Below are 14,742 nucleotides of genomic sequence, written 5' to 3'. Positions count from 1 at the left end.
TATGGCAAAAGAGAGAGAGAGACGTCTGCTGTCAGGTTGAATGGTCCCTATCTTAAGCCTGTGACAGCAATCGGGCCATAAAATGTTAACATCACAAGACTTCAACCGGGGTTCAAATCCGAGGCATGCTGCAGTCTAACTTTGTGACCTTGGGTACCTGACTTCCCTGTTAAGGGAAGGATTAAATTAAGGGGCAAATTTGAAGGCCAGGAGCAGAGTCCTTTTCTCCTTCTAGGATTCCTGATTCCATGTCTAGTTTACTCCTTCTGCATTTTACAGCCAAGAATATACACACAGACACGTACCCATGTACACACATACATCATCCTTTAAGTAAGACTTACCATACATTCATCTCTTATCCTTATAGCCGTCTGGCAGTGTAGGTATTTGTGGTACCCATGAGAATCAATGCTCTTCGCAGACCTCCAACTACAGGCAATGAAATTGACCAACGGCTCCAGCTGCTGTGCTCTGAAATCCATCACTGTAGCTGTGTGGGCACCAGACTGCACTTCTCATGGGCTGATTCCAGAGGCAATAGCGGAACCCAGCAGGGGTACTGAGACAAACCTATTCCTGGGAGACATGGGACTCCTCTGACAGCTGAGTTTGGCTGCAGGACTCCCTGATGGCATTGTGGACCCTCCTTGGCAATCTAGGACCCTTCCCTACAACTGCCCCTTCTTCTTTCCTTCAGTAGAGATCAGACTTGCATTGCTATCTGACCATTCTCCTAACCTGTTTCTTTTAATAAAATCCTTGAATGTACAGTCCTGTCTTGATGTCTGCTTCCTGGAAGATGCTGACAAACAGAATTTTATCATGTCTGTATTACAGATGAAAAAGCTGAAGTTCAAGGGACAAGTAGGCAGTCCAATGTCACGGGGTGGGGAGGGGGGGGCAAGGAATGCATTGTAATTCAATATTAGCTATTTGTGAATCAAAATGCCACAGAGGCCTCCCATTCCCTCCACAAAAAGTCCTGGAGATGGGCCCTGAGGTGTTCCCTGTGAAGCAGTATGCCTTTCTCCATTTCCCTAGGTCCTACAACTCATTAGTGGTGGGCCAAGAGCAAAGCCTAGGTTTTCAGCATCTAAATCAGGGGTTCCTCCTCCCGGCCCACCATGCTCTGGGGGCCAGACTGCAGAGCAATCCCAGCTAGAGTGAAGCTCTGCAGCTCACCCCGCCCCATGGTGCCTGTGGAGCCACAGCAGGTTTTTGCATTTAGTAAGTGTGTTTGGAGACAATCATTTCATAAAAGTTAATCTGTTCTGGGCTGGAGCCAGCTGAGACTGATAACTCCAAGTCTCCCCAAATGAGAACTTCAAATGCAAAGTCACATTTCTTCCCAGTGATCTTGGCCGCCTGAGACCTGACTACCTTCAGAGGAAACCAGGCATTCATGTATCCACATCCAAATTTTCTTGGCCTATCCCAGTTGGAGATTTCAGAGCTGCTTCTTCAATGCCAGAAGAAGTACGAGGAAGGGCAGCCGCCCCTCTGTCACCATCACAAGCCAAACACACTCCATCTGTACCTAGGTGGCTGGGGAGACGCCCAAACAGCACCTCAGGAAAACTAATCAACACTGTCCAAATGGCTGCAGCAGAAAACTAGAAGGGGAGACAAACAGCTTTGCCAGCCAAAGGCCACTGAGAGGAGCGCAGGAGAAATGAGCTCAACGCTCTGTCTACACCCGGGAGCCACACAGGTGGGAGAGCAAATTAGCACAGCCTCCCTCCTTCCTCGACAAGGCCAGATCGCCAGTGGCACCCGGTAAACGGGTTAGTGTCCATGTCACTCAAACCTCTGCTCTGTGTGTAGACTGGTGTCTGTTTTATTTGAAATTACTTACCAACCTAGTCGCTCTCTTACTCTTGGCAACCAACAGAGCGATGGACTGGTGACAGCAGCAGCAGAGGCAGAGAGAGAAAGTGAGAAAAAAATGAGTGGGTTTATATGACAGTATTGTACATCAGAAGGAACAAAGCATAGGACTGTTCTCTTCACCTGGGTCCTGGAAGAATTGAGAGGGGCAGGAAGGAAAGCGCTAACAGTTATTGAGGGGTTTACTGCATGCCAGACACTGCTAATGGATTTACATGCCTTATGTCATCTAATCCTCATAGTAACTATAGAAAGCTGATACTATTGTTATTACTTCCATTTTACAGAAGAAGAAACTGAAGTTCAGAATGGCGAAGCAACTTCCCCAAGGCTTCCCAACGAATCACAATCCTGGCCTGGATTTTAGCAGAGTTAGTGTAATTTGAGAGCATCCTCTACTGACGATGATACACAATTCCCCATGTTTGTTGAATACCTACCGTGTGCTGCGTGTTTTAATTAATGACAACTGCATGCCATTCTTAGAATAGCTTTAGAAAGTACATGTCATACCCATTTCTGAGGAGTGGGGACTGAGACTCAAAGATGAATTTAACAAAGGTCCTATAGCTAGGAAGTGGGGGAGCTCAGATTGAAAGCACATCTGAGTGACTCCACAAGACCACAAGGCCCTCCTCATAGGCACACCCAGGGCAGCTCCCACCCCTCCTCGTTTGGCCCAGGAGGGCACAACAATAAACAATACTAGAACAATCATGGTGGTCTTTTTTTTTTTTTTCCTTTGGAGACGAGGTCTTGCTCTGTGGCCCAGTTTAGATTGTGCAATGGTGCTATCACAGCTCACCGCAGCCTCGACCTCCCAGGCTCAAGCAATCCTCCCACTTCATCCTCCCTAGTTGCTGGGACCACAGGCACGTGCCACTATGCCTGCCTAATTTTTTATTTTTTGTACAGATGAAGTTTCACCATGTTGCCCAGGCTGGTCTCAAACTCATGGGCTCAAGAGATTCACCCACCTTGGCCTCCTAAAGTGCTGGGATTATAGGCGTGAGCCACCACGCCCAGCCCATAGCAATAATGGAACACTGCCTGAGTTATTTTCAATGTGCTAAGCACCCTTCATTTTATTGTTACCACAGCCCTGTCTGTGAGTGAGTGGCTTGACCTCAATTTCACGATGAGTAATTCGAGGCTTACAAGGGCAGGGCACACAAGTCACCTGAGCAGAGCTGGCGTCTCGGGAATGTCCAGCATACTGCCTGAGACATGACATCTCACAGGGGACAACATCGACTCCGTCCTCTCCTTTCCACTCAACAGACATTCGCCTTTTGGCTGAAGAAACTCTCTAATGCAAGTTGTTAAGGAGGCAGCAAAGGACGTTTCAGGGTTTCATTCTAAGCAGGTTTCCCTAAAAGAACCTTCTAGAAGTTATAAGCAGTGTGGGTCACTCAAAGGTCTGGCAACCTTTCTCTCCAACTTGAACTTTCCTCAGGCTGAAGCCTCCCACATTCTGCCGCAGACATCTCAGGAAACGTCTCTGTCCTTTCAAGTCCGTGAGATTCCAGCCGAGGCCTGACCTCACACTCAGCCTGGCCCGCTCCCTGTCGCCAGGCAGCCAGTTCCTTGTTTTTCCTCCCATAATGATGGATACAACCTGTCAGGAAAGCTGGGAATATTCTTAGCTCCTAACTGATTTTTATCTAAATTTAACTCTGAGCCACAGCACAGCACAAGCAGACTTGCATCCAGAGGGCAGCCAACATTTTCATGGCGACACATCACAACGGAGGCTTGGTATTTCTCAGATGCCCTGGCTTGGCTTGAAGCTAAAATAAGACAAATGGCTCTTTAGGAAAAAAATCTTGATCTTGTAGTACTAGAACCATCAGACTGTAGAGTTGGAGAGAAACTTAGATTTATCCAGCCTCATTCTACAGATCAGGAAACTGAGGCCCAGCAAGCACGGGCCACTTGAACCGCAAAGCTTGGTCTTGCTTTTTTCACAATACCACATTGCCTCTAAGGAACACAATGAGCAAATTAGATGGGACATCTGCAGAGGGCCATAACTTTTTATTTTGTAAATCATAAAATCAAATGTTCTGGGTCATGCAGCTAAAGCTGGTTGAACCCTGATCTCTAGTAAACAGCACCAACTGTCTGATTCAGCACATTTAATAAGCCCATGGAAAGTGGACTTTTTCCAAGGTTCAGAGTCTAAAAAAAGTTCCAACTGAAACAATTCAGCAAGTCATTCTCTCTCGCTAGAATGCTGGCTCCTGGAGAGGGGGGCATTATCAGTTTGATTCACTGTTCTATCTCTGAAGCCTGGAATCGCACCTGGAACATAGTGGATGCTTGATAAATATATATTGAATGGCAGACTGAATGAATTAATGAACGAATGAACAAATGAATAATTAGGAGGAACAGAACCATTAGGCCTGAATGACTGCTTGTAGGAAAGGGAGGGCAAAGCCACCAGCAAAATAAAGTGAGATTGTGCTTTTCCATTCTTCACCCACCAAGCTATGCAGCAATCGATGTCTTCTAGGAATTAGATAAAAGGTTTTGCGTGGCCATACAATAAAATGCAGATGGAGATCCCCAAGTGGCCACTATCATTCACACGGAAGGCTTGACTGAAGATTGGACTCAAAAGAAAAAGAAATAGAGGAACAATAAAAACAAGAAGCACGAAAATACGGTGTCCCAGTCGGGACCATGACCCAGAGGGTCACCATGGTTCTCCCAGCAGAATGCAGCAGTGAACTACAAGCCTCGCCTCTGAGCCAAGGTTTGAGAAAGGAGGACACGGCCTATTGTAATGGAGGAAAGAAGGTGGCTTTACTTTTGTCCCATTCCTTACCTTAGTAAGTTTGTGGGAAAAGAGGCCATCATTGCTACAGTATGTTTAATTGAAAAATCACCATTCTTGCACAGACCCGGCTGAATTAATACATTCTGAGGCTCAAATGGTATCAGGTGTCCTAGGCCCTACATTGTTAACACATTTATTTTTGCAAGCAGGTCACTATATATAAATACAAAAGGTTGTGTTTGTGTATATTTGAAGGCACATGATATGGGGAGTAGGGTGAAGCAAAAGGGGCAAGAGAAAAATCAAGATTTATAAAAAAGAAATCCAAATACAGCTTTATGCATTGAATGCCATATACATTCAGCATTGTGCTTTAAACAATTTTTTTTTCCACAGTGGGTGGGGGGTGACAAGAAGGGAATGGGGGTTTCTAAAAGAAAGGAAATGGCATTCAAAAAGTAAATAAAACAGAATTCTTGACTTCTTAGAGCTTTAACTTATTAGGAAGACAAACGCAATGAAACTTTCATAGACAAAATAAATATTATACATATTAAAACATAATAAGGCATTAGTGAATTGGTTTTATAAAGTGTGTGGTTCAGGGAGTCCCAAGAAAGGAAGTTCTAGGTGGGTCAGGTCAGTCAGGGAAGGCTTCCCAAGGGAGGTTCCAGAACCTGGTGGAAGGCGGCTAAGGTTTAGCTGACAGGAGCTGTTTGAAACTGTAGGCCGGTGGCAGGACAGTGTGAGCCCCTCCATAACTATGGGAATTTATGTATTTCACAGGGGAGAAAAGGCCACCATGAACAATTAAAAGAAGGAATGGAATGAAGTGGTCTATTGGAGTGTTTGAGCTGGTTTTTTGTTTTGTTTTTCAGATGGAGTCTCGCTCAGCCACCCAGGCTGGAGTGCAGTGGTGTGACCTCGGCTCACCACAACCACTGCCTCCTGGGTTCAAGCGATTCTCCCGTCTCAGAATCCCGAGTAGCTCGGATTACAGGCACCCAACATCATGCCTAGCTAATTTTTGTATTTTAGTAGAGACAAGGTTTCACCATGTTGGTCAGGCTAGTCTTGAACTCCCGGCCTCAGGTGACCCACCCACCTCGGCCTCCCAAAGCGCTAGGATTACAGGCGTGAGCCACCATGCTCGGCCTGTTTGCTTTTTAGAGACAGGGTCTCGCTCTGGCATCCAAACTTCAGTGCAGTGGTATAATCATATCTCACTGCAGCCTCAATCTTGGGCTCAAGTGATCCTCCCACTTCAGCCTCTTGAGTAACTGGGATAACAAGCATGTGCCACCACACCCAGCTAATATATATATATATATATATATATATTTTTTTTTTTTTTTTTTTTTTTTTTTTGAGATGGAATCTTGCTCTGTTGCCCAGGCTGGAGTGCAGTGGCGTGATCTCGGCTCACTGCAACCTCCACCTCCCAGGTTCAAACAATTCTCCTGCCTCATCCTGAGTAGCTGGGATTATAGGTGTGTGCCACCACACCTGGCTGATTTTTGTATTTTTAGTAGAGACGGGGTTTCACCGTGTTGGCCAGGCTGTTCTCAAACTCCTGACCTCAGGCGATCCACCCGCCTTGGCCTCCCAAAGTGCTGGGATTACAGGCATGAGCCACCCTGCCCGGCCACCACCACTATCACCGTTATCATCACCACCACTATCATCATCACCACCACCATTTTCTGAGTGTTCACTCTGGACCAGCAACACTCTGGTTGTTACTGACATTAAGCCCTTGACATGTAGTTTACTCATTGACCCCTCACAACTACCCTGTAGAGTATGTATCATTTTTTATCTCCACATTGTGAACGAGGAAACCAAAGCTTGGAGGGTTAAATCACTTGTTCTAGGTCACATTAGTGGCCAAGTCTGGGTTCAAACCATTTCTTTCTTTCTCTCACGCCATCTACTTCGTGCTATACCCAACTGACTAAATTCTGCTCCTGGCAGCTTTGCAGAATAGTTATATGGAATTATTAAGTAGATGTTCTTGCTCTACTCGAATGCAACATTTATCACAGAGGTGGAAATTGTTAGAGGATTTCCCATAATGTATTTTACATGCATATTATTAGAATTACTCAGGGGTGAGGAAAAAAAAGTTCCCAGGAAAAATATTTGGGCTTTTTTGGTTCTGGTTTTGATGTTATCATAACCTATAGGTGTCCCCTGGACAAACTATCTAGAGTTCTTGGAGTTTTTTTGTTATTGTTTAATTAGTGTCATACATAAAAGTCAAATGGGCTCTAATTTAGCATTTCCTCTGACTAATCTCTGACCTGGGCTTGGCATTTCAATAGCTGAGCCTCAATCACAAGAGGTTCGAAAAAAAATTCCTAAGCAGTCAGTACTGACAGTCCATTGCACAAATGTGGAAATTGAGGTTTGCAATAATCACAAATCATGTAACCTTGTACTCTGACTTGAATTCCAGGGAGGACTGTGACTGTGACATATCCCAGTTTTGAACTCCCTTAGAACATTAGCTGGACATTTCTGGTATCCAGGTTCCTTGCATCCTTTTCATCCCCACACTTGCCTCCTTCCTTCCACTGGGCTGTCAGCTCTACATACATGCAGACAAAATCAGTTTCTTGGCCATCTCTCTATCACCAGTGTCAGCTTCAGGACTGGTTGGCACTGGGTAAGTACTCAGAGACTGTTGAACTGAGGAATAAAGAGAAAGCTGATGGTCTTGCAATGGAAGGAAAAGGAGGATAGCATACTGGAGGTTACAGATAACAGTCTCATTTTTCTGGATGAGAGATATGATTCCTGTACATGTATGAGGAGTTTCTTGCAACATTGGGCATGACAAGTCAAATCTATACATAACCCACATCTTCAGCAAGAAGGGTTGGTTATATAAATTATACACTCAGAGCAAATTATGTGAATAGATATTTCTTTAAAGAAGATATACAAATGGCCGACAAACATGAAAAAATGCTCTACATCACTAATCATCAGGGCAATGCAAATGAAAACCACAATGAGATACCTACTTACTCCTGCAAGAATGGCCATTAAAAAGTCAGAAAACAATAGGTATTGGCGTGGATGTGGTGAAAAGGGAACACTTATACACAGCTGGTGAGAATGTAAATTAGTACAACCTCTATGGGAAACAGTCTGGAGATTTCTTAAATAACTAAAAGTAGATCTACCATTCCATCCAGCAATCCTACCAAGGGGTATCTACCCAAAGGAAAAGAAGTCATTATATCAAAAAGACACCTGCACATGTATGTTTTATTGCAGCACAATTCACGATTGTAAAGCTATGGAACTAACCTAAGTGTCCATAGGCCAATGATTGGATAAAGAAAATGTGGTATATATACACCACGGAATAGTACTCAGCCATAAAAGAGGAACAAAATAATGTCTTTGCAGCAACTTGGATGGAGCTGGAGGCCATTATTCCAAGTGAAGTAACTCAGGAATGGAAAACCAAATACTGTATGTTTTCATTTATAAGTGGGAGCTACACTGTGTGTACACAAAGGCATACAGAGTGATATAATCAACTATGGAGACTCAAAATGGGGAGGATGGGAGAGAGCAAGGAAGAAAAAAAGTACACATTGGGTACAATGTACACTACTCAGGTGATGGGTGGGCTCAAATCTCAGACTTCACCACTCTACAATTCATCTGTGTAACCAAAAACTACTTGTACTCCAAAAGCTATTGAAATAAAAAAATATTTTTAAAAAATTATTGCACACTCATATAATGAAATACTATAAAGCTGTATACGGCGCTATCGTGCATGCGTTGTCAAAGGGCCAAACGTTTGTTGTTGGGAGGTTAAAAAAAAAAAAGAACACAAAAAACAGCTATCACAATTATTTGCTACCTTCCAAAGGACCCCAATATATAAACAGATACAGAGTATACCTGCGGTATTAACATTTCATGGTGGTATTCAAAAGGCTCCTATGGGAGCAGTAATGAAGAGAGGGTTGGGAAACACTGCTGTAGTAGAATCACTCACGACAGAGACAGATGCTGAAGATGAGTGCCGCATGAGAAAAGCAAGTTACAGAGGTGCAACACGACTTTGGTAAAATGCATGCACACAAACACAATAATACACACACACACAGAATGATACATTTATATCACTGGAAAACATGGAAACCATAATAGTAGCAGCATTCTTTGAATAGTGGGGTTGCAGATTATTTATACTTTCTTCTTGCTTATCTGCATTCTCTAAAGTTGCTACCATAAATACATTCCTTATGAGAAAAACAACTCTGTGTCTGTTTCTAAGAGTCAGATCATTGCATTACTCTGGTGTTCTGCCAAAGGAATATATAGGCAGCCCTTGATTTTTGCTGCTTCATCCTTTATCTTTCTTCCTATCAATAAGCTTGTGTCTTGCCACCTCGGGACACCCACTCAAGTTAATGATAAGGATCTGCTCTGGCACCCACAGCTTTAAGCTCAAGATGACTACCTGGAACCCAAACCCCCCTGCAGCTCTTCAACCAGTTTTCAGGGAACCTGAGAGAATGGAACAGGCTTTTCTACCTGCCCCCACTGGCTCTCTGAACAATCCCAGTTTCTTTTCAGTTGGCCTCACTGGCTTAAGCTCCTTCTTTCTCCTTTTCTAAGCTGCTACCATGTGTCTAGTTCCTAGACTTCCTCCTGCAAGGCTGGACACAGGCGAACATGAGATTTCTATGTTCTCTTCATGACCTTTAATCCTTGGTTGTGGTAGTCAGCTTCTGAAATGGCCCCCTGCGATTGGCGCCTTCTAGTATCCATGCTTTTGGGTGGTCTCCTCACATACTGAATCTGCACTAGTCTGTGTAACCAATAGAGAATGATGACAGTAAGCACTTCATAACTTTCAAGATGAGGTTAAGGATTAGAAGACTACGATCTTTTTTTTTTTTTTTTTTTTTTTAAGACAGGGTCTCACTCCAACAACCAGGTTGGAGTGGAGTGGCACAGTCACAGCTCACTGCAGCCTCAACCTCCCAGGCTCAGGTGATCCTCCCACCTCAGCCTCCTGAGTAGCTGGGACTACAGGTGTGTGTTACCACACCCAACTAATTTTTGGAGTTTTAGTTGAGACTGAGTTTTGCCATGTTATCCAGGTTGGTCTTGAACTCCTGGGCTCAAGTGATCCCCCCACCTAAGCCTTTTAGGTGCTGGGATTACAGGTGTGAGCCACCATGCCTGGCCACCACCTGGCCTCTGTGATTGGCTGCCTTGAGGAAGGCCAGTCACCGTGTCAGGAGGACACTCAAGCAGCCTTGTGGAGAGGCCCATGTGGAGAGAACTAAGGCCTCCTGCCCACAGCCAGCACCAGGGAGTGAGCTACTTTGGAAGTCCATCCTCCAGCACCAGCCAACCTGACTGCAACCCCATGACAGACACTGAACCAGAACCACCCAGCCAAGCCACTTCTCAATTCCTGACCTATAGAAACGTTTTAAGATAATAAATATTTATTGCTGTTTTTAAGCCACTAGGTTTTAGAATAATTTGTTATGCAGTCATAGACAACGAATACATTTCTGTTTTTAGAATTCTATTACCCCGTATCAGGCCAAATAGACAAAATTTAAAACAGAAGGAAGTCACGAAGATTTAACAGGCCTAGCAAGTTTTTCTGATCTGTTCCTTGGACTAAATTTCCTCACTTTTTTCTGACACATTTTTCTGGATGGTTTTAATAACCAAATATCCTCCAGCAAGGGTTGAGTGTTGTCTAGGTGGCCCGCCTACAGTCTTAGCCTCTCAGACTCTTCAACTCATGGAAATCCTGTTTTCTAGCAAGCAAGTCAGCAGGTACAAATCAGGAGACCAAGGGGTCATTTCCTCAAAGTTCCTAAAAAGTCACTGATACCTTCCAGGCTAAATTCCATAACACTGTATAAACGTCAATGAATTTTAAAAAACCATTATTAGGTGCATTTTAATGTACTCCAAGCTTGTTTTCAACTTAATTTGACCCACTTTTTTTTTTTTAAGTCCATGTGATCATTTTACTCAGTTCTACATTTTCCCTTTAGTTCTAATGGTCTTTGATTGTTGTTAATATTTGCAATTGTTGACTCTGGCTTTTATTTGTTTTTGCTGCTTTTCAGGGTCTTAAGAAAGTAAAATTTTTTGCCCATATTGAATTGACTATAATATTTTAATATTCTTTTAAATATTGCTCACATTAGCCCATTTGTTGTTTTAATAGGTCTTAAGTTGTTTCAGCTGTTTTTCAGTTAAATATTTTAACTTAAAAAAATTGTCTGATGTTACAGCATTTTAAGAATGCAATTACATTTATTTCAGCACTCTCACATTCATAACTGCTTTTAATATTTTAATAACTTAGTTATTAAATAAATCTATTCTTAGAATATGATTTCAAAATGCTGCAGGGAAGGGAAAACAATTTTAAAAGATTCTGTTAACCTTATGTTTTAAAAGAGAAGGCTGATACTAAAGCTTTTTTTGTTATTTTGGAGACGGAATCTCGCTCTGTTGCCCAGGCTGGAGTGCAATGGCGCCATCTTGGCTCACTGCAACCTCTGTCTCCTAGGTTCAAGCGATTCTCCTGCCTCAGCCTCCTGAGTAGCTGAAATTACAGGCGCCTGCCACCATGCTCAGCTAATTTTTGTATTTTTAGTAGAGACAGGGTTTTACCATGTTGGCCAGGCTGGTCTCCAACTCCTGACCTCAGGTGATTCGCCTGCCTCAGCCTCCCAAAGTGCTGGGATTACAGGCTTGAGCCACCGCGCCTGGCCTGATAACAAAAGTTTTACAGAGGGAGTACATGAAGCTGCAGAAGATCTTAGGTCCAGCTCTGGTTATTTCAGTCAAATAACTGGCACATCACTGAGGCAGTCATTTCATCTCTGCTAGTCTCAGCTGATACATCTATAAAACGGGGAATCATGTGTTTTGGGTCAACCTTAGAAGGTTACAGGGCAGCTGTTATGACAGCAGTTCTAATCTTCACAATATACTCTGTTTAAATGTTTTAACGTTTATTTTCAAAACGAATCTTATCTTGCCATGGAATATGGAAAAGCTACATCACTTTCCATGGATAAAAAGTTATAGTAAAATAAATACAAAAGAAAATGAAACCATGTTATTAAATCCTAGCTAGACACAATTGAAGACTAGCTCAATTTGAGAACTGTTAAAGACATAACTAGCATAACATCTTCCTTGATGTTGAAAAAAAAAGATGTCTGGAGTTGAAAGAGAACTGAAAAAGGAATGACTTTCTCATTCTAGGATTCAGTGTTATTTGATGCGGTTTCTTGGTTCCACTAAAATCAAGGGACAAGCAGTGCGAGTCCCACATTTTTGAAAAAGCTTTTGTGAGGAAAGGTATGGATGGAGCAAAAAGTTTGATCACGTTCCAGGAACAGGCTTTCTTGGGCTACTTGGATCTTTTTTTCTATGTGTTATCTGTCTCTTTACCAATCTAACGTGGGCTATGTTGTATGAAAAGGCCAAAAATGTGAGCTGACCTATTTTAAATCTTAGTAACATCTGGGACCTTTAGGAGAAGGAAAGTTTGTGATCCAAAGGAGAGTTCAGCTTGCCAGAAGCTAGTATCCTCATCAAAAAAGGAAAATGGACCTGCTCGTGAGAAGGGCAGTTGCTGTAATATGGAGATGTTCAGAAGATTGCAAATAACTTTGAGGTTGTTTTAGTCTGGGTTAACTTGCAGTCTTTAGTACATTCCAAATATACAAAGATGTTTTATGAGCTTACAACTTATATAAAATGTAAGGCAATATGGAATTGTACCATTAAACTGAGAAATGGTTATCATGAGTGACTGCAGAATGATCCTCACATAGTTGAACCTGATGGGGGAAGATGACTCATCCAAAGGCCAACTTCGGGAACTAGAAGTTCACCTAGGGGTAACCCAGTGGACTCTGGGTTCAGCAAACGTTAATTTCTGAGTTAGCATTTCCCCAAGCATATTTTCAAGAATGTTAGTGCCAAGAGATCTAACAACAACCACCAATTTAAAAATGGTTCTATGACCCTTTTGCTGGAGTCTAGTTACCATACCGTCCTTTTAAAGATTTATAATTCATGTCAGTACAGTAAGAGCTCTGAGAACTCCTGTAATAAAGAATTTGCTTACCTTTGCTTAATCACGTGTTTGTAACACTTGTTGGCCAAATAAACGGTCATTAATAGCCTAGCAAAACTCACATTCAGGGCCATCCTAACTGACTTTTAACAGGGCAGCACCACCAACAGGGCAATTCAGAATCAGAACAAAGAAAAACACATGCTATAAAGACACATGCACACGTATGTTTATTGCAGCACTATTCACAATAGCAAAGACTTGGAACTAACCCAAATGTCCATCAATGATAGACTGGATTAAGAAAATGTGGCACATATACACCATGGAATACTATGCAGCCATAAAAAAGGATGAATTCATGTCCTTTGTAGCAACATGGATGAAGCTGGAAACCATCATTCTGAGCAAACTATCACAAGGACAGAAAACTGAACACCGCATGTTCTCACTGACAGGTGGGAATTGAACAGTGAGAACACTTCGACACAGGGCAGGGAACATCACTCACTGGGACCTGTTGTGGGGTGGGGGGAAGGGGGAGGGGGGAGGGATAGCATTAGGAGAAATACCTAATGTAAATGACGAGTTAATGGGTACAGCACACCAACATGGCACATGTATACATATGTAACAAACCTGCACGTTGTGCACATGTACCCTAGAACTTAAAGTATAATAATAATAATAGACTTTAGAATCCTTGATGTCAACATTGTGGTGTTCCCCATTTCCCTGATTAGACATACCAGGAGTGTCCTAAGGTGCTCAGTCCTGATTATGGTGTGCTTGAAACAGGCCTGAAACAAATGTCATCAAATGTGATCACTTAAGAGAAGTATTTTGCAAGCACCAATGTCCAGCACAAGTAATTGTTACTTCCAGGAGATCTGGTTCTAAATCAAGTTCTGCCATTAATCAACATTATGACCTAAGGCATGATCATCCTCATTTTGAAACTGAGGAAACTGAAACTCTGAGAAATAAAACAAATTATCCAAAGCTAAACCCCAAGCTAGGAGAATCGTACTGCACCCAGGGCCAGGGCTCCCGCTCTCAGCTCAGTGTTCTCTCCACTGCTGTACTCTGCCTCCCCAGCCCTCCTGCCTCTCAGGTTCACACTTGGCATCATCTGACTCTTCTTCAGGTAACCTGGGTGTCTGTGCTCCTTCTGTTCTAAGTCTTAGATTCATTGCTCCTGCTTCCCCTAGGATCTTTATTCCAGTCATTTCCAACCCAGAATGAAATGATCCAGTGTGGTTCTGGCCCTTCTGATTGCTGATGGGCTGAGTCCCAGCCTCAGCTACAGGCCCCTGGTTTGTGTTGGTCTGAATCACCTTAACAACTCTTGAACCATCAATGACTGTGGCCAAACCCTGAGTGCCTCCAAGAGGCTTTAGCTTTTCCCATTAGGATACTTATTCCAGGAGCCTTTATGCTGGGCTAGGAACTTAATGAGTAAAAGACAAATAGTGGTTCCTTCCCACTAAGATTCCATCTCTCAGTGTGGTAAAGGAACAAATGTCCCAGGTGTAGAAAACACCAAACTAACTCCACTTCAAACCATGCTCCATCCTATGCCTAGTGCCATTCCCTGGCTCTCTGTCTGTCTCCACCCCTGACATCCTCGGCCTTCATTCTGGGGGCCATCCATGCTGCCTCTCTCCTAGTCTGTGGTGACTTTGGAGGCTCAGTTGTCTTGAATCTCTGTCTTCCCAAATTCACTGCCTTATCTCTGGCTCATGGCATGCCTCCTGGGAAGGAAGTGGGACTGTTCTTCATAAACTTCCCTCAAAGGCGGACCAAGCAGATTAGGAACAAGTAACTCCATGCTCCCTGAATCCTTCCTCCCTTCCCTACTGCCCCCCAAAAGCCACTGGTAGGTGGGTGTTGGGCAAGAAGCACCATCCTCCTGGGCATATAAATTCTAAGCTCCACCACCTCCTCACCTAATAAAACA

At 43.2% G+C, this 14,742-nt stretch overlaps 1 protein-coding gene across 6 annotated transcripts in view; it reads right to left on the bottom strand.

Annotated features, from left to right (window-relative positions):
* Positions 1 to 14,742, bottom strand: part of THSD4 (thrombospondin type 1 domain containing 4) — a 686,490-nt gene that overhangs the window by 450,667 nt on the left and 221,081 nt on the right. Inside the window, exon 1 of one of the 6 annotated variants that reach the window (XM_011522044.3) lies at positions 345 to 816. The exons of the other annotated variants lie outside the window; for them this stretch is intronic. Within the exon in view, the coding sequence (XP_011520346.1) occupies positions 345 to 351 (7 nt within the window). The 5' untranslated portion in view covers positions 352 to 816. Of the gene's footprint in view, positions 1 to 344; positions 817 to 14,742 lie in introns of those variants that run through there. 6 annotated transcript variants of the gene reach the window in all.

Source organism: Homo sapiens, chromosome 15 (assembly GCF_000001405.40).
Source record: "Homo sapiens chromosome 15, GRCh38.p14 Primary Assembly".
NCBI lineage: Eukaryota > Metazoa > Chordata > Mammalia > Primates > Hominidae > Homo > Homo sapiens.
Note: the sequence above shows the minus strand (reverse complement) of the source record. Positions and strands in the feature narration are given on the sequence as shown.